This window comes from Homo sapiens, chromosome 14 (genome assembly GCF_000001405.40).
Source record: "Homo sapiens chromosome 14, GRCh38.p14 Primary Assembly".
NCBI lineage: Eukaryota > Metazoa > Chordata > Mammalia > Primates > Hominidae > Homo > Homo sapiens.
Window position 1 is genome coordinate 34,751,128 of NC_000014.9, and position 14,715 is coordinate 34,765,842.

Sequence of the window (14,715 nt, forward strand, 5' to 3'; positions counted from 1 at the left end):
AGAGATTCTCTTGCCTCAGCCTCCCAAGTAGCTGGGATTACAGGCAACTGCCATCACACCCAGCTAATTTTTGTATTTTTAGTAGAGACAGTTTCACCATGTTGGCCAGGTTGGTCTCGAACTCCTGACCTCAGGTGATCCGCCCACCTCAGCCTCCCAAAGTTTTGGGATTACAGGCGTGAGCCACCGTGCCTGGCCTAAAATTTTTAATTACTATAGATGTGTATGGGAATAAATGATGAATTTGGCATATAAGACAATTTGGCTGAGCAGATTGCAAGGTAATGTCTTGGCTGGTGCGGTGGCGCACGCCTGTAATCCCGGCACTATGGGAGGCTGAGGTGGGCAGATCACCTGAGGTCAGTAGTTCGAGACCAGCCTGGCCAACATGGTGAAACCCTGTCTCTATTAAAAATACAAAAATTAGCCAGGTGTGGTGGCGCATGCCTGTAATCCCAGCTACTCGGGAGGCTGAGGCAGGAGAATCACTTGAAACCAGGAGGTGGAGGTTGCAGTGAGCTGAGATCATGCCACTGCACTCTAGCCTGGGTGACAGAGCCAAGACCACATCTTAAAAAAAAAAAAAAAAAAAAAAAAAAAGGTAAGGTCTTATTTTAACTCAGTCTGAGAAATGGTAAATAAATTGCAAGTTTTATGACTGACTTGCAGATTGAATAATTCCATAATTAGTTGGTTGGAAATGGTTCCTTTGTGTTAACTGTGTAGAAGAAAAGCTAACATAAAAATTGCTTGTTATTAACATTAAAAAATGAAGAATATTGGCCGGGCACAGTGACTCACACCTGTAATCCCAGCACTTTGGGAGTTCAAGGGCAGGCAGATCACTTTGAGCTCAGGAGTTCAGACTAGTCTAAGCAACACAGCAAGACCTTGTCTCTATTCTATAAAATTAAAATTTTATTTAAAAAAAGAATATTAAGTAATCAGATAAATTACTATTAAAATGTAATTGTATTTTCAGAATTGTCTTGGTATTTAAATGTTATTAATTTCCAAGAAATTTAGTTATGGCATATAAAATTTATACACATTTACCAAAAGTTACAGTTATATTCATGTGAAGAATCTAGAAAATTGATAATCTCAAACTATATGAGAAAGACAGGTAAACTTCCAAGTAAATTAATTAAATAATAATGCAGTACCCTCAGGATTTTAAGGAAATAGAGGGAAGGTTCTCTCCCGCCTACCAAAAAGTCCTAGAGAATAGGGAAGACACCTGCCTTTTGCATCCTAAAAAGGAAAAGTATGCTACAAAACTGAAGCCCCTGTATGTCTTCCATACCTAAGAAATAGCTCCTTTTATGTGTATATATGCATAAAAACTTTAATTAATTATTTCCAGATTCTCAACTAGGTGAGTGTATTCCAAACTTTCTCTCCTCTTTTTAATGAGAATCCATGCACATCATGTTACTGTTTTTGATGAAATGAAATGGATCTTACTCCTCAAGGGTTTCGGCAGAAAAAGCAGCAAATTACTGCTATAGAGACTCAGGTACAACAAAAAGTTGGTTCCTATGGTCTGTTTTTATCACGAGCAAAAGTCCAAAGCTGATTGTAAAAATTAGAGAATTCCAGATTATTTGAAAAAATGTTATTTTATTTGTACAGTTAAAAAGTTATACATAGAAACTTATAATACAGTTCTGTAAAGCTGAAAGAACTGTCAGGAAAAAGGGAGGGTGTTACTTTTTTTGATTGATCATTAAGGAAGTTAGAGGAATAAAAACACAGTAAAAGGTTTAAAACATTAAGGAACATTTTTCAGGTATAAATTTTATAAATACAAAACAAATTCACAAATTACTCTCAATACTAAATAAATATCTAGTTAATAAACTTGGACTTAATACCTGCAGCCAGCACTGGTACAGCACTTCAAGGTTATAAGATTGGATTCATTCATGTGTAGTGTTGAAAGAATGTACTCAAACAATTAATTAAGACATAAACACCTTTTCTAAACTGTGCTATAGCGGAAGACTCATCCATGTAGATAACTCTCCCTTAATACCACCACTTTAAAAAAAAATCATCAATAACAAAATAAATCGTGGGTGAAAAAATATTTTCCAAGATCTCTGGACACATGAATGATCTCAAAAATGTACAAAAACCTCTGTAAACCAGTACTGTATCCAATACATCTATCAAACTTATTAGATACTGAACAAAACTGTAGCAAAGGATATCTTTCCTACATTCTCCTGAGTGCTTAATATTAAAATTGAGAATATAGTGCAGGCCACACTTTCATGTGGTCAATCAATTGTTATTGCTTTATACAGCATGATTTAATGTTCCATTTTCATGAACAATTTGTTTTTCTTCAAATATATCCTTTAGAAGGACAAAGTCAGATTCGTGACTTTTTCGCAGCCGGTGGTGTGCTAACTTGGTCCACATTACTGGGTGTGACGTGGAGTCCAAGCTTTTGAGCCTGAATATGAAAAAATGCTTGAAGCCTAGTTCCAGCTTTTGCTTCACTTGTGTTACGAGGGTTGTATTCAAAGCAGTTCGAAAACATTAACTCAATGTCATCAATAAACTCAGCTAGAAAGGGAAAGAGACAAAAAGATTAGAATGAAAGTACATAAATTATAATAAATATAATTCTTGTATCATATCTGGAAATTTTATTAAGAAAATGGAAGCCCACTTTTTTCTTTAGAAAGAGAAGACTCTGGCTAGGCATGGTGGCTCACATCTGTAATCTCAGCACTTGGGAGGCTGAGGCAGGAGGATCACTTGAGCTCAGGAGTTCGAGACCATCCTGGGCAATATAGCAAAACCCCATCTCTACAAAAAATACAAAAATTAGCCACTTGCGGTGGTTCAAGCCTGTAATCCCAGCACTTTGGGAGGCCGAGGCAGACGGATCACCTGAGGTCAGGAGTTCGACACCAGCCTGGGCAACATGGTGAAACCCCATCTCTACTAAAAATACAAAAATAGTGGGGCGTGGTGGCGGGCATCTGTAATCCCAGCTACTCGGGAGGCTGAGGCAGGAGAATCACTTGAACCCAGGAGGCAGAGGTTGCAGTGAGCTGAGATCGCACCACTGCACTCCAGCCTGGGCCACAGAGCAAGACTCCATCATCTCAAAAAAAAAAAAAAAAAAATTAGGCATGGTGGCCTGCACCTGTGGTCCCAGCTACTTGGGAGGCTGAGGTGGGAGGACAGCTTGAGCCTGTGAGGTCAAGGCTGCAGTGAACCAAAATTTTGCCTCTGCACTCCAGCCTGGGCAACAGAGTGAGACGTATCTCAAAAAAAAAAAAAAAGAAAAAAGAAAAAGAAGAAAGAAAAAAGATTCTGAAACAAGGTAGCAGAACTGAGGCTTAAAACTGTTTAACTGTAAATACTTTAAAATTGTTTTATTGAAACTATCCAATTATGTGATCATATACATTATGTGATTATAAAGAACTTCTTTGAGTAAGATCAGATCTATAAAGTATCTTTAACTTACTTGATCCTAATCCATCTTTCATCCCCACATACACTAATAAGTACTTGTGGAACCTCATGGAATGCCATCTACACAACTACATCAACACACATCCTTTTAGTAACAGAAAAACAGCCTCTACCTCTTTAAACAAAAATAAATATCAAAGATGCTATAACAAAATGCCTTAGAAAAATAAATATCAAAGAAAAACATAAATTACTTACATGCTAATTTATATTCACACTTATTCACTTTTTCACGAATTATATTTAAGGCAATGGGCTTTTTGATGATGTCATAGTAGTCTGGGACCTGTAAAATAATTCAAATATCTCTGTCCACACAGAAAACTTAACTGGAAAGAAGTGTTCAAATAACTAAAAGTTTTGCACTAAAAAGCAACTCAATATGCAATTGCAATATGGTCTTGCTCATGACTCTCTCCTCTCTATATAGATATATATGTCTATATAGATGTGTCTATACAGATATATATCTATATAGATATCGCGCTCTCTCTATATATACACACCATTGTCAGTTGTGACCAGAAGAAAAAAAATTCTTCAATGAGCATTATTGCATTTGTAATAATGAATAAAATGTATGTAACAAAGTGTACTTTAGGACAAAAATTACCCAGGCAAAATGAGTCAAGTCAAACTAAGATTTAATTTTTTTATGCTATTCAATATTAATTAATCCTTCTCATTCTTGCTCTAGAAGTCTCAAAGTAGAATTCTGATGATGTCACTTCTTCATTCAGAAACCTTTACCTCACACTGGTGAGTGAGACCCTTTATAATACAGTTGTGTGTCTGAGACTTTCTAACCCAACCTCATTCAAACCATCCACCATTCACCATATTCTCATTTCTGGGTGTCTACCGTATAGCATATTCCTTTCTCCCTGAAACATCCTTACTGCATTTCTTAGTGTTGAAATTCTATCCTTCTTCAATGACCAGTTCCAAATAGTTCTCCTTAAAAAGCGTTCTAATTATTATTTTGTCCCTCTGAAATGCTCAAATCAATCTCTGTCTACTCTACTTCTGTAATACCATGATAACTTCTATTCCAGTACCATAACTTTGTTCTATCTTTGCTATATAAGAGATCACATTCTGCCATATATATATATAACCTAACTACAACACCATCTCATATCCTTCAGTTTGATTAGGCCATCACTGTTACCTAATACCTATCTTTTTTTTTTTTTTTCCTTTTCCTTTGGAGACAGGGTCTTGCTCTGTCACCCAGGCTGGAGCGTAGTGGTGTTATCTCGGCTCATTGCAACCTCCACCTTCCAAGCTCAAGTGATCCTCCTGCCTCAGATTCCCAAGTAACTGAGACTAAAGTCATGCACCACCACACTCGGCTATTTTTTTTCTTTTTCTTTTTTTTTTTGTATTTTTTGTAGAGTCAAGGTTTGACCATGTTGGTTAGGCTGGTCTCAAACTCCTGGGCTCAAGCGATCCACCTGCCTCAGCCTCCCAAACTGGTTTTTTTCTTTTTTTTTTTTTTTTGAGACAGAGTCTCACTCTGTCACCCAGGCTGGAGTGCAGTGGCACGATCTCGGCTCACTGCAAGCTCTGCCTCCCGGGTTCAAGCGATTGTCCTGCCTCAGCCTCCAGAGTAGCTGGGACTACAGGTGTGTGCCACCATGCCCGGCTAATTTTTTGTGTTTTTTTAGTAGAGACAGGGTTTCACCGTGTTAGCCAGGATGGTCTCAATCTCTTGACCTCGTGATCTGCCCACCTCGGCCTCCCAAAGTGCTGGGATCACAGGCATGAGCCACTGTGCCTGGCCCTAAACTGTTGAGATTACAGGCGTGACACACTGCACCCAGCCAGAATACCTATTTTTTTTTTTTTTTTTTTTTTTTTGAGACAGAGTCTTGCCTAGGCTGGGGTGCAATGGCGTGATCTCGACTCACTACAACCTCCGCCTCCTGGGTTCAAGCGATTCTCCTGCCTCAGCCTTCCGAGTAGCTGGGATTACAGGCATGCACCACCATGCTCAGCTAATTTTTGCATTTTTAGTAGAGATGGGGTTTTGTCATGTTGGCAAGGCTGGTCTTGAACTCCTGATCTTAGGTGATTCACCGCCTTGGCCTCCCAAAGTGTTGGGATTACAGGTGTGAGCCACTACGCCTGGCCCAGAATAACTTTTATATCAGTGTTTCTCAAAATGTGCTCTCTGGGCCAGGACCATCAGCATCATCTGGGGACTTGTCAGAAATCCAAGAGTTAGACATCATTCCAGACCTAATGAATCAAACACTCTGGGGCTCAGGAATCAATGTTTTAGCAAGTCCTCCAAATGATTCTGAGGCATGCGGTAGTTTGAGAACCACTGCTTTACATAAGAAAAATATGATTAATGGTACTCAATTAACTCTATTCATATTCATTACATAGAACAAAAACATTGAGGTCATTGTAACACACCATCATTATTTATAAAGAATCAGTCATGGCTGGGCACGGTGGCTCATGCCTGTAATCCCAGCACTTTGGGAGGCCAAGACACATGGATCACCTGAGGTTAGGAGTTTGAGACCAGCCTGGCCAACATGGTGAAACCCTGTCTCTACTAAAAATACAAAAATTAGCCAGGTATGGTGGCAGGTGCCTGTAATTCCAGCTACTCGGGAGGCTGAGGCAGGAGAATCACTTGAACCCAGAAGGTGGAGGTTGTAGTGAGCTGAGATCGCGCCATTGCACTCCAGCCTGGATGACAAGAGCAAGACTCCATCTCAAAAAAAAAAAAAAAAAGGCTGGGTGCAGTGGCCCGTGCCTGTAATCTCAGCATTTTGGGAGGCCAAGGTGGGCAGATCACCTGAGGTCAGGAGTTCGAGAACAGCCTGGCCAACATGGTGAAACCCTGTCGCTAATAAAAATACAAAAATTAGCCAGGTGTGGTGGCAGGCCCCTGTAATCCCAGCTACTTGGGAGGCTGAGGCAGGAGAATCGCTTGAACCCGGGAGGTGGAGGTTGCGGTGAGCCAAGATCACGCCACTGCACTCCAGCCGGGGGACAAAAGCAAGACTTTGTCTCAAAACAAAAACAAAAACAACAAAAAAAGAATCAGTCACAAAATTAGAAGGGACTGAGCTGTCTAACTCTATTGTTTTCTTTTTTTTTTTTTTGAGATGGAGTTTCACTCTTGTTGCCCAGCCTGGAGTGTGGACTGCAATGGCGCGATCTCGGCTCACTGCAACTTCTGCCTCCCGGGTTCAAGTAATTCTCCTGCCTCAGCCTCCCAAGTAGCGGGGACTACAGGCGCCTGCCACCACGCCTGGCTAATTTTTTTGTATTTTTAGTAGAGATGGGGTTTCACTGTGTTAGCCAGGATGGTCTTGATCTCCTGACCTCGTGATCCGCCCGCCTCGGCCTCCCAAAGTGCTGGGATTACAGGTGTGAGCCACAGCGCCCGGCCAACCCTATTGTTTTGAACATAGGAACTGATGTTCAAGACCAGCCTGGCAATGAAGTGAGACCCTGTCTCAAAAAAAAAAAAAAAAAAACAGCTGGACCTGGTGGCATGTGCCTGTAGTACCAACTACTCAAGTGGCTAAGTTGGAGGATCACTTGAGCTCAGGAGGTTGAGGCTGCAGCGAACCAAAATATGCCACTGCACTCCGGCCTGGGCGACAGAAACCCTGTCTCTAAAAATACTAAGAAGAAGACATGGCCAGGTGTGGTGGCTCACACCTGGAATCCCACCACTTTGGGGGGCCGAGGTGGGCAGATCACAAGGTCAGGAGATTGAGACCAGCCTGACCAACATGTTGAAACCCCGTCTCTACTAAAAATAGAAATATTAGCCGGGTGTGGTGGTGTGTGCCTGTAATCCCAGTTACTCAGGAAGCTGAGGCAGGAGAATCGCTTGAACCTGGGAGGCAGAGCTTGCAGTGAGCCGAGATCGCGCCACTGCACTCCAGCCTGGGCGACAGAGTGAGACTGTCTCAGGAAAAAACAACAACAACAAAAAAAACTAGACAGTGAGTAACAGGTGTTTTGACTACTTCAAAGTTATCACGTGGACTAAATCAGATAATATACAGGAATACATTTTATCAAGTCTAGTAATTACCTGGATTTTAGAAACAAGTTTCAAAAAAGGCCAGCTGTCATCATGTCGTACCAATTCTACAACAAGTTGTTCAAAAGCAGACAATTCATGAACTCCTCCCTGTCGGCCAGAACTCCTTCGACCCAGTGTCACAGGCGATGGCTCTGAGTAAATAATTACAACATTTTAGGTGATAACAAAGCAAAATATTGGTTCACTACACGCCAAACTGGATATATAAATACCAAATTCCAACAGAAAATAGACACTCCGTACACTGAGATGTTAACTATTTTCTGGGAGATATGAAAATTCAACCAAAATAGGACCAAATAGTCATTATTTCCTTTTTGATCTTAAAAATGTCCAATTGCATTAAACATTCATTGGGAACAGATTTTCAGAGTGTAATGCAAAAGAAAAATCTAGAACACAAAAGTTTTTGGATTATTTTTACTCAATTTTATTAAAAATACTTTACAGCTACAGTTTTTTTTTTTTTTTTTTTTTTTTTTTGAGATGGAGTCTCGCTCTGTCACCCAGGCTGGAGTGCAGTGTCGCGATCTTGGCTCACTGAAAGCTCCGCCTCCTGGGTTCATGCCATTCTCCTGTCTCAGCCTCCTGAGTAGCTGGAACTATAGGCACCCGCCACGGCGCCCGGCTAATTTTGTTTTGTATTTTTAGTAGAGACAGGGTTTCACCGTGTTAGCTAGGATGGTCTCGATCTCCTGACCTCGTGATCTCCTGACCTCGTGATCTGCCCGCCTCGGCCTCCCAAAATGCTGGGATTACAGGCGTGAGCCACCACGCCCGGCCTTTTCAGCTACAGTTAACTGAAACTAAGCAATTCTCTAGTATTTCCTAAAGCATATCCTTCAGAAAGTAACCTCCTCAGATCTAGAAACTAGGCTTACATATAAATTACCTTGCATAATGGAAAAGCAATTCTCACTGGTAAAGTAAAAGATTATTCTTACAGATCTTAATTTTATTTATTTTATTTAATTTTTGAGACAGAGTCTTGCTTTGTCACCTAGGCTGGAGTGCAGTGGCATGATCTTGGCTCACTGCAACTTCTGCCTCCTGGGTTCAAGCAATTCTCCTGCCTCAGCCTCCCGAGTAGCTGGGATTAAAGGTGCCTGCTACCACACCCAGCTAATTTTTGTATTTTTAGTAGAGATGGGGTTTCACTGTGTTGGCCAGGCTGGTCTCCAACTCCTCACCTCAAGTGATCCACCCACCTGGGCCTCCCAAAGTGCTGGGATTACAGGTATGAGCCACTGCACTTGGCCACAGATCTTAATTTTAATATCTAGATAATGTTCGAAAAGCAAAATGCTTCCTCACAGACCTAAGAAAGGTATAGTATAATGAAATCTAAAGTATATGCATTGGTAGAAAGGGTAGTATAGTCCATATATGTATTCAGATGTATAAATTCTCTCCTTGCAGTGTAGGTCCACACATTTCCCCTTTTGTTTGTCCTTAGTACCAGGCTTAGCAATTTCACAAATCAATGAAAACAAAAAGTTTTTCTTCCTAGTTTTTTGAGTAAAAATGTTTCAAGTGTATTATTTCTCCAAACAGCTTGGAGAATTGGGGAAAAGCAAAACAGATAAGTGGATAGGAAAAGCTAAATTAGATCCTGACTGGTACAAAATTAGGATACTTCCCCTAAAAAACTTGACAATCTGGTGACTGCATAAACAGATTACGTGCCATTCTTTCACCAATGAATTCCTTAATCCTGCTGCGTATCCGAATAATGCAATATAATGTATCTAAAATTCTCTGAAGAACAGTGGCTTTTTTTTTTTTTTTGAGAAACAGTGGCATTTTTTATGTTTAGCTTCATTTAAAAAACAACAACAAAAAAATAGGGCCAGGCCAGGTGTGGTGGCGCACACCTGTAATCCCAACATTTGGGAGGCCAAGGCAAGGCAGGCAGATAACTGAGCTCAGGAGTGCAAGACCAGCCTGGGCAACTTGGCAAGACCCCATCTCTACAAAGAATACAAAAGTTAGTCAGCTTGGTGGTGCATTCCTGTAGTCGCAGCTGCTTGTGAGGCTGGGGCTGGAGGATTGCTTGAGCCCGGGAAGCAGAGGTTGCAGTGAGCTCAGATTGCGCCACTGCACAGCAGCCTGAGTGACTGGTATAATTAATAATAACAATAAAATTAAAAAATCAAAATTTTATTACCACTTACATTAAAACAAGGGAAAGGAAGAGATTATGAATTTCTTTATGAATAAAGAAATTAGTCTATGAATAATGATTACTATAAACAAAAATGAGAACTAAAAAGACAACTGAGGCCAGGCGCGGTGGCTCACGCCTATAATCCCAGTACTTTGGGATGCCGAGGTGGGTGGATCACCTGAGGTCAGGAGTTCAAGACCAGCCTGGCCAACATGGTGAAACCAGCCGTCTCTACTAATACAAAAATTAGCCCGGTGTGATGGTGCATACCTGTAATCCTGCTACTCGAGAGGCTGAGGCAGGAGAATCGCTTGAACCCAGGAGGCAGAGGTTGCAGTGAGCCAAGATTGCACCACTGCACTCCAGCCTGGCGACAGAGCTAGACTCTGTCAGTCAATCAAATAAAAAATAAAAAGACAGCTGGTCATCGCTTCCTAAAAATATTACTGCTTCCAACTCTCCCTTTCCCCCAAATTCAGTATTTGAGATGGGAACCTTACCAAATAATCTGATGTAGCTTGTCTAGGTGATGCTGAGTATTTGCGTTTTGAGGGAGGAAAAGGTGGGAGAGAGTGAAATGTGTTATAATGTAGTATCCTGACACTGTTCAAATATTGGCCAAATATCTCCATTAAAAACAGAACGTCATTTGTAAGTTTATTACCCTGCTTCACTAGTAGAAATATTAGTAATATAATTTATTCATTAAATAGTTGCCCCTTCAATGACTATTATGCTTCAGGTCAGATTGTTCCCTAATAACTTTGTGTATCTTAGTGACAGACTTTAAAAAATGATCCAAAGTATCTCAACATTCGATATTTCCAAATTATTCAATTTTCCTAGGGAAGGAAGAGTTTAGATTTCTTCATACCTGGAGATTGTCTTTTTCTGCATCTTCTTTTGGATTCACTCTCTTGGAGAGAAAGTTTTGAAGCAATATTTACAGATCTTGACTGTTCACTTGACTTTGTGGCAATGACTCTGAAGTTAGGGAAGTTGGGACTATTTTCTGGTGTATTATTAGCACTTTTCCTGCCTCTGCGTTTTCTACGAGGACTAAGCAATTCCACAAATACATCTGCTTGCAGTGGGCCATGACTGTGGCGAGTAGAACGACTGGCAATTCTTAAAGATTTTGTTTCTGTAGGAGGAGCAGAGTTTATCTTTCTTAGGCTTCTACCAGTTTTAGAAGAAACAGTTGTTTTGGGTGTGCTCTGCTGACTCCTTGAAGGGTATCTTCCAGGTTCTTGTTGTTGGCCACGACTTGAGAAAGAAGAGCTAAGTTTCCCTCTTGTTTTAACTGGCAATCTAACTTGTGGTCTTCCTCGTTTGGGTAGGCTATAAATATTGTTAGAAAACACAATTATTGTACAGAGCAATGATGAACATATGATTAGCTCTATTCTCCTTGTTGTATTTAGCCAATGAGTTTATACAAATTTTCTATATAACTGAGACTTATCCTAGACTCAATTCCTTAAAGAGTCAGTAAGTTTTAAGTTCTCAAGGGAATCTAAAATGTGCTTTCATGTATTTCTTTGAAATGCAAAGAGAATTATCTGCAAAGAGAATATTTTATGTTTTCTTTTCTTTTCTTTATTTTTTTTTTTTGAGACAGAGTATCACTGTCACCCAGGCTGGAGTGCTGTAGTACGATCACGGCTCACTGCAGCCTGACCTCCCTGTGATCAGGTGCTCCTCCCATCTCAGACTCCTGAGTAGCTAGGTGTGTACCACCATGCCTGGCTAATTTTTGTAGTTTTTTGTAGAGATGGGGTTTTGCTATGTTGCCCAGGCTGGTCTCAAACTCCTGGACTCAGGCGATCTGCATGCCTCGGCCTCCCAAAGTGCTGGGATTACAGGCGTAAGCCACCGTGCCCAGTCCATATCTTCTTGGTAACTTCAGGACATCATTATGAAAATTAAGTCCTAAATTCTGATAAATTGTAATAAAATGCTCAGGAGAACCAACAAATAGACTTAGTCAATCATGTTGGAAAACTTAAGAGTAATGAAGTAATCTTAAAATGAAATTCTTTTGTCTCCTTTTGCTACAGGAGACTACCACTTTTCATTATCATTGATACTGAGATAACCTACAGTTTTAGCCAGTGGCTGCCAATGAAGTGGGCCTTGAACCCGTGGTTCCTGAATACCACGCCAAGAACCTCTCTGTTGTCTTCTGATTCTGACTATAAAACTATATTTAATCTTTTAACTGTCCTTAATTAAAAGAATGCAACACCTCCATTAACTCATTATTCCTCTCCCCATATACCTGGACTTCCAGTTTATCCCATGTACTTGCAAGAACTTTCCACATTCTTTATCATCTTTATGCCTAACATAATACTGCCCTCACAAGCTACAGGGAAGATGGCTCTTCTAGCTGGTATTTCTTAAAACCTTGTTTAAAACAGATGGGGTGGCTCTATCTCAACTTCTCCAACTGTGGTCCTTTTGCACTTTTGCAGTTCTAGGTTGCCTTGCTTCATACTCATTTTCCTGCTTCCACAAGAATGGGGTTCAAATGTTTAAAAAAAAAAAAAAAAGCCGGGGGGAGGGGGATGATAAGAACAAGGAGCACAATGACTTCCCTGATATGACTGGCTATGGTCAGGCCTGCTGACAGAAAACCCCCAGTAGATCTGTCTAGCTTATAGCTACCGGTTAGACATAGGCACCTCATTTTATAGTGCTTTGTGCTTCACTGCATGCTACAATTATAATTTTTTTTTAAACAAACTGAAGGTTTGTGGCAATTCTGCATCAAGCAAGTTTATTGGCATAATTTTTCCAACAGCATGAGCTCATTTTTTATCTCTCTGTCAGATGATTGTTAGCATATTTTAGCAATACATTATTTTTAAATTAAGATATAGAAATGCACTTTTTTTTTAGACATAGTGCTACTGCATGCACACTTAGGAGACTACAGTGTAATGTAAACATAATTTTTATATGCCCTGGGAAACCAAAAAAATTTGTAACTTGCTTTATTGCTGTGGTCTGGAATTGAAATGGCAGTATCTTTGAGGTAAGCCTGTATATCTACCTTGTGGATATAAAATTCTAAATATCCCTTTATTTCGGCCCTCAACCGGAGGTTCAAGTAAGGGGAGATTGCCCCAGTGCTGCCACAGAAGGAATATCCAGGCTCCACACTCATTCGCTAGGCCTGAATGACACAGCATGCTAAGTTGCAGAATACTTAGTTATATGGTAGTATAGAAGCTGTTTCCAGGTGCTAATGTGGCAGAAGTATAAAAATACAGTGCATTTATCACTCTCTCTCAGATTCCCCAAATTATCAATACTCCCTTGGGAATATTTTTGAATGTTTATAATATATAAAAAGCAAGGGTAACTTCAGGCCACTATACGTTAGTTTCTTTTTTCTTTTCTTTTTTTTTTTTTTTTTTTGAGATGGAGTCTCGCTCTTGTCACCCAGACTGGAGTGCAATGGCGTGATCCGTTACCTCACTGCAACCTCCGCTCCCGGGTTCAAGCAGCTCTCCTACCTCAGCCTCCCGAGTAGCTGGGATTACAGATGTCCACCAACACCTTGGCTAATTTTTCAATTTTTAGTAGAGACGGGGTTTCACCATGTTGGCCAGGCTGATCTCGAACTCCTGACCTCAGGTGATCTGCCTGCCTCAGCCTCCCAAAGTGCTGGGATTATAGGCATAAGCTACCGTGTCCAGCCTATATATTAGTTTTAAACTAAGTTACAGACCCTAACTATTCCATTTGTATTTGAATAGTGGAGAAATTGTCTAACTAAGACTTACTGACTCATTTTATTGCATGTTAGGACTTACCTGACTTCTTCCTCTTCTTGAGAGTCATCTTCATCTTGTTCTACCTCATACTCTTCCTCCTCACTTTGACCTTCTTCTTCATCGCCATCAACTTCATCATCCTCACCTCCCATACTGTCTTCCACATCTTCATCACTTTCCAAGGATGGTCTCTGTCTAGAGGAGAGTCTTCTAGAACGTTGCTTTGGTCGACATTCTGGACAAAACCAGTCTCCTTCAGGCACAGTCTGAAAAAATCACATAAATGATCATTAATCATCTATTGCTCAAAATCTTAATGTCTCATTTCTAATCTGATAAGAAGAAAAAAATACCTTGAGCTTTGGTCGAACACAGTAGGTATGATGACCCCTATCACAGCCATCACAAAGAACCATGTTTTCAGCATCGCCTTTCTTTCGACATATCTTGCAACGCGCATTCAGTATAGATTTAGACCATATCACGCTACGATCCAAGGTGGATAGGTGAAGAAAAACTTGGGATAGACTAGCAGAAGAAAGGAGAGACTCTCTCCAACGGTCCAGAACTGTTTTATAAGAACGCCCACTGTCACTGGCATCTTAAATGAAAAGGGAAAGTGATTACAATTTTTTAGGCAAACCTAGTAATCTTCCTAGAAATAGTTTGTTGGTAGTTTAAATATAGGTTAGATTTTACATTTCTTTTCTTCTGATACTTAACAAAAAGACCATGCTGATATTAAAAACAAAAATCTCATGGAAAATATTTGCTGAGCCGCATCTCGTTTATGACATAAGGAATTACTTAAATTCATAAATCAAATGCTAAGGGATTTTAATAGCTAAAGAGAAAAATAATTCAGACAATGTGTTCTCAATCTAGTCTTTGTATCAAATCTTGAGCTAATTTTAAAAACTGGTTACATATGATTCCAAGTCTATACTATTCATTTGCATGAAGTATGTTACTTCCTCATCTCATATAAAAGATGGACTGTTCTCCAACTTAAATTATCTTCTAAGAAAATAGTTTTAAAATTGTGGTAAGTAAAAACAATGTTAATACTACCAAAATGGATTTTTCAGCACTAATATTTATATAGAAACATTTGAAACCTTCTGTCACTTAACATCACCATTCTTTATCTTCTGGGCTAAAAAATTTAATCATCT

At 40.0% G+C, this 14,715-nt stretch overlaps 1 protein-coding gene across 8 annotated transcripts in view; it reads right to left on the minus strand.

Annotated features, from left to right (window-relative positions):
• Positions 1 to 1,603: 1,603 nt before the first annotated feature.
• Positions 1,604 to 14,715, minus strand: part of BAZ1A (bromodomain adjacent to zinc finger domain 1A) — a 122,630-nt gene continuing 109,518 nt past the window's right edge. For 7 of the 8 annotated variants that reach the window (NM_182648.2, NM_013448.3, XM_047430887.1 and 4 more), the window contains 6 exons: positions 13,894 to 14,141; positions 13,580 to 13,806; positions 10,630 to 11,096; positions 7,577 to 7,719; positions 3,700 to 3,787; positions 1,604 to 2,577 (listed from right to left, as the gene is read on the minus strand). In NM_182648.2, coding sequence (NP_872589.1) covers positions 2,381 to 2,577; positions 3,700 to 3,787; positions 7,577 to 7,719; positions 10,630 to 11,096; positions 13,580 to 13,806; positions 13,894 to 14,141 — 1,370 coding nt within the window. In that variant the 3' untranslated portion in view covers positions 1,604 to 2,380. Of the gene's footprint in view, positions 2,578 to 3,699; positions 3,788 to 7,576; positions 7,720 to 10,629; positions 11,097 to 13,579; positions 13,807 to 13,893; positions 14,142 to 14,715 lie in introns of those variants that run through there. The other variant, XR_007063978.1, reaches the window with a different exon arrangement.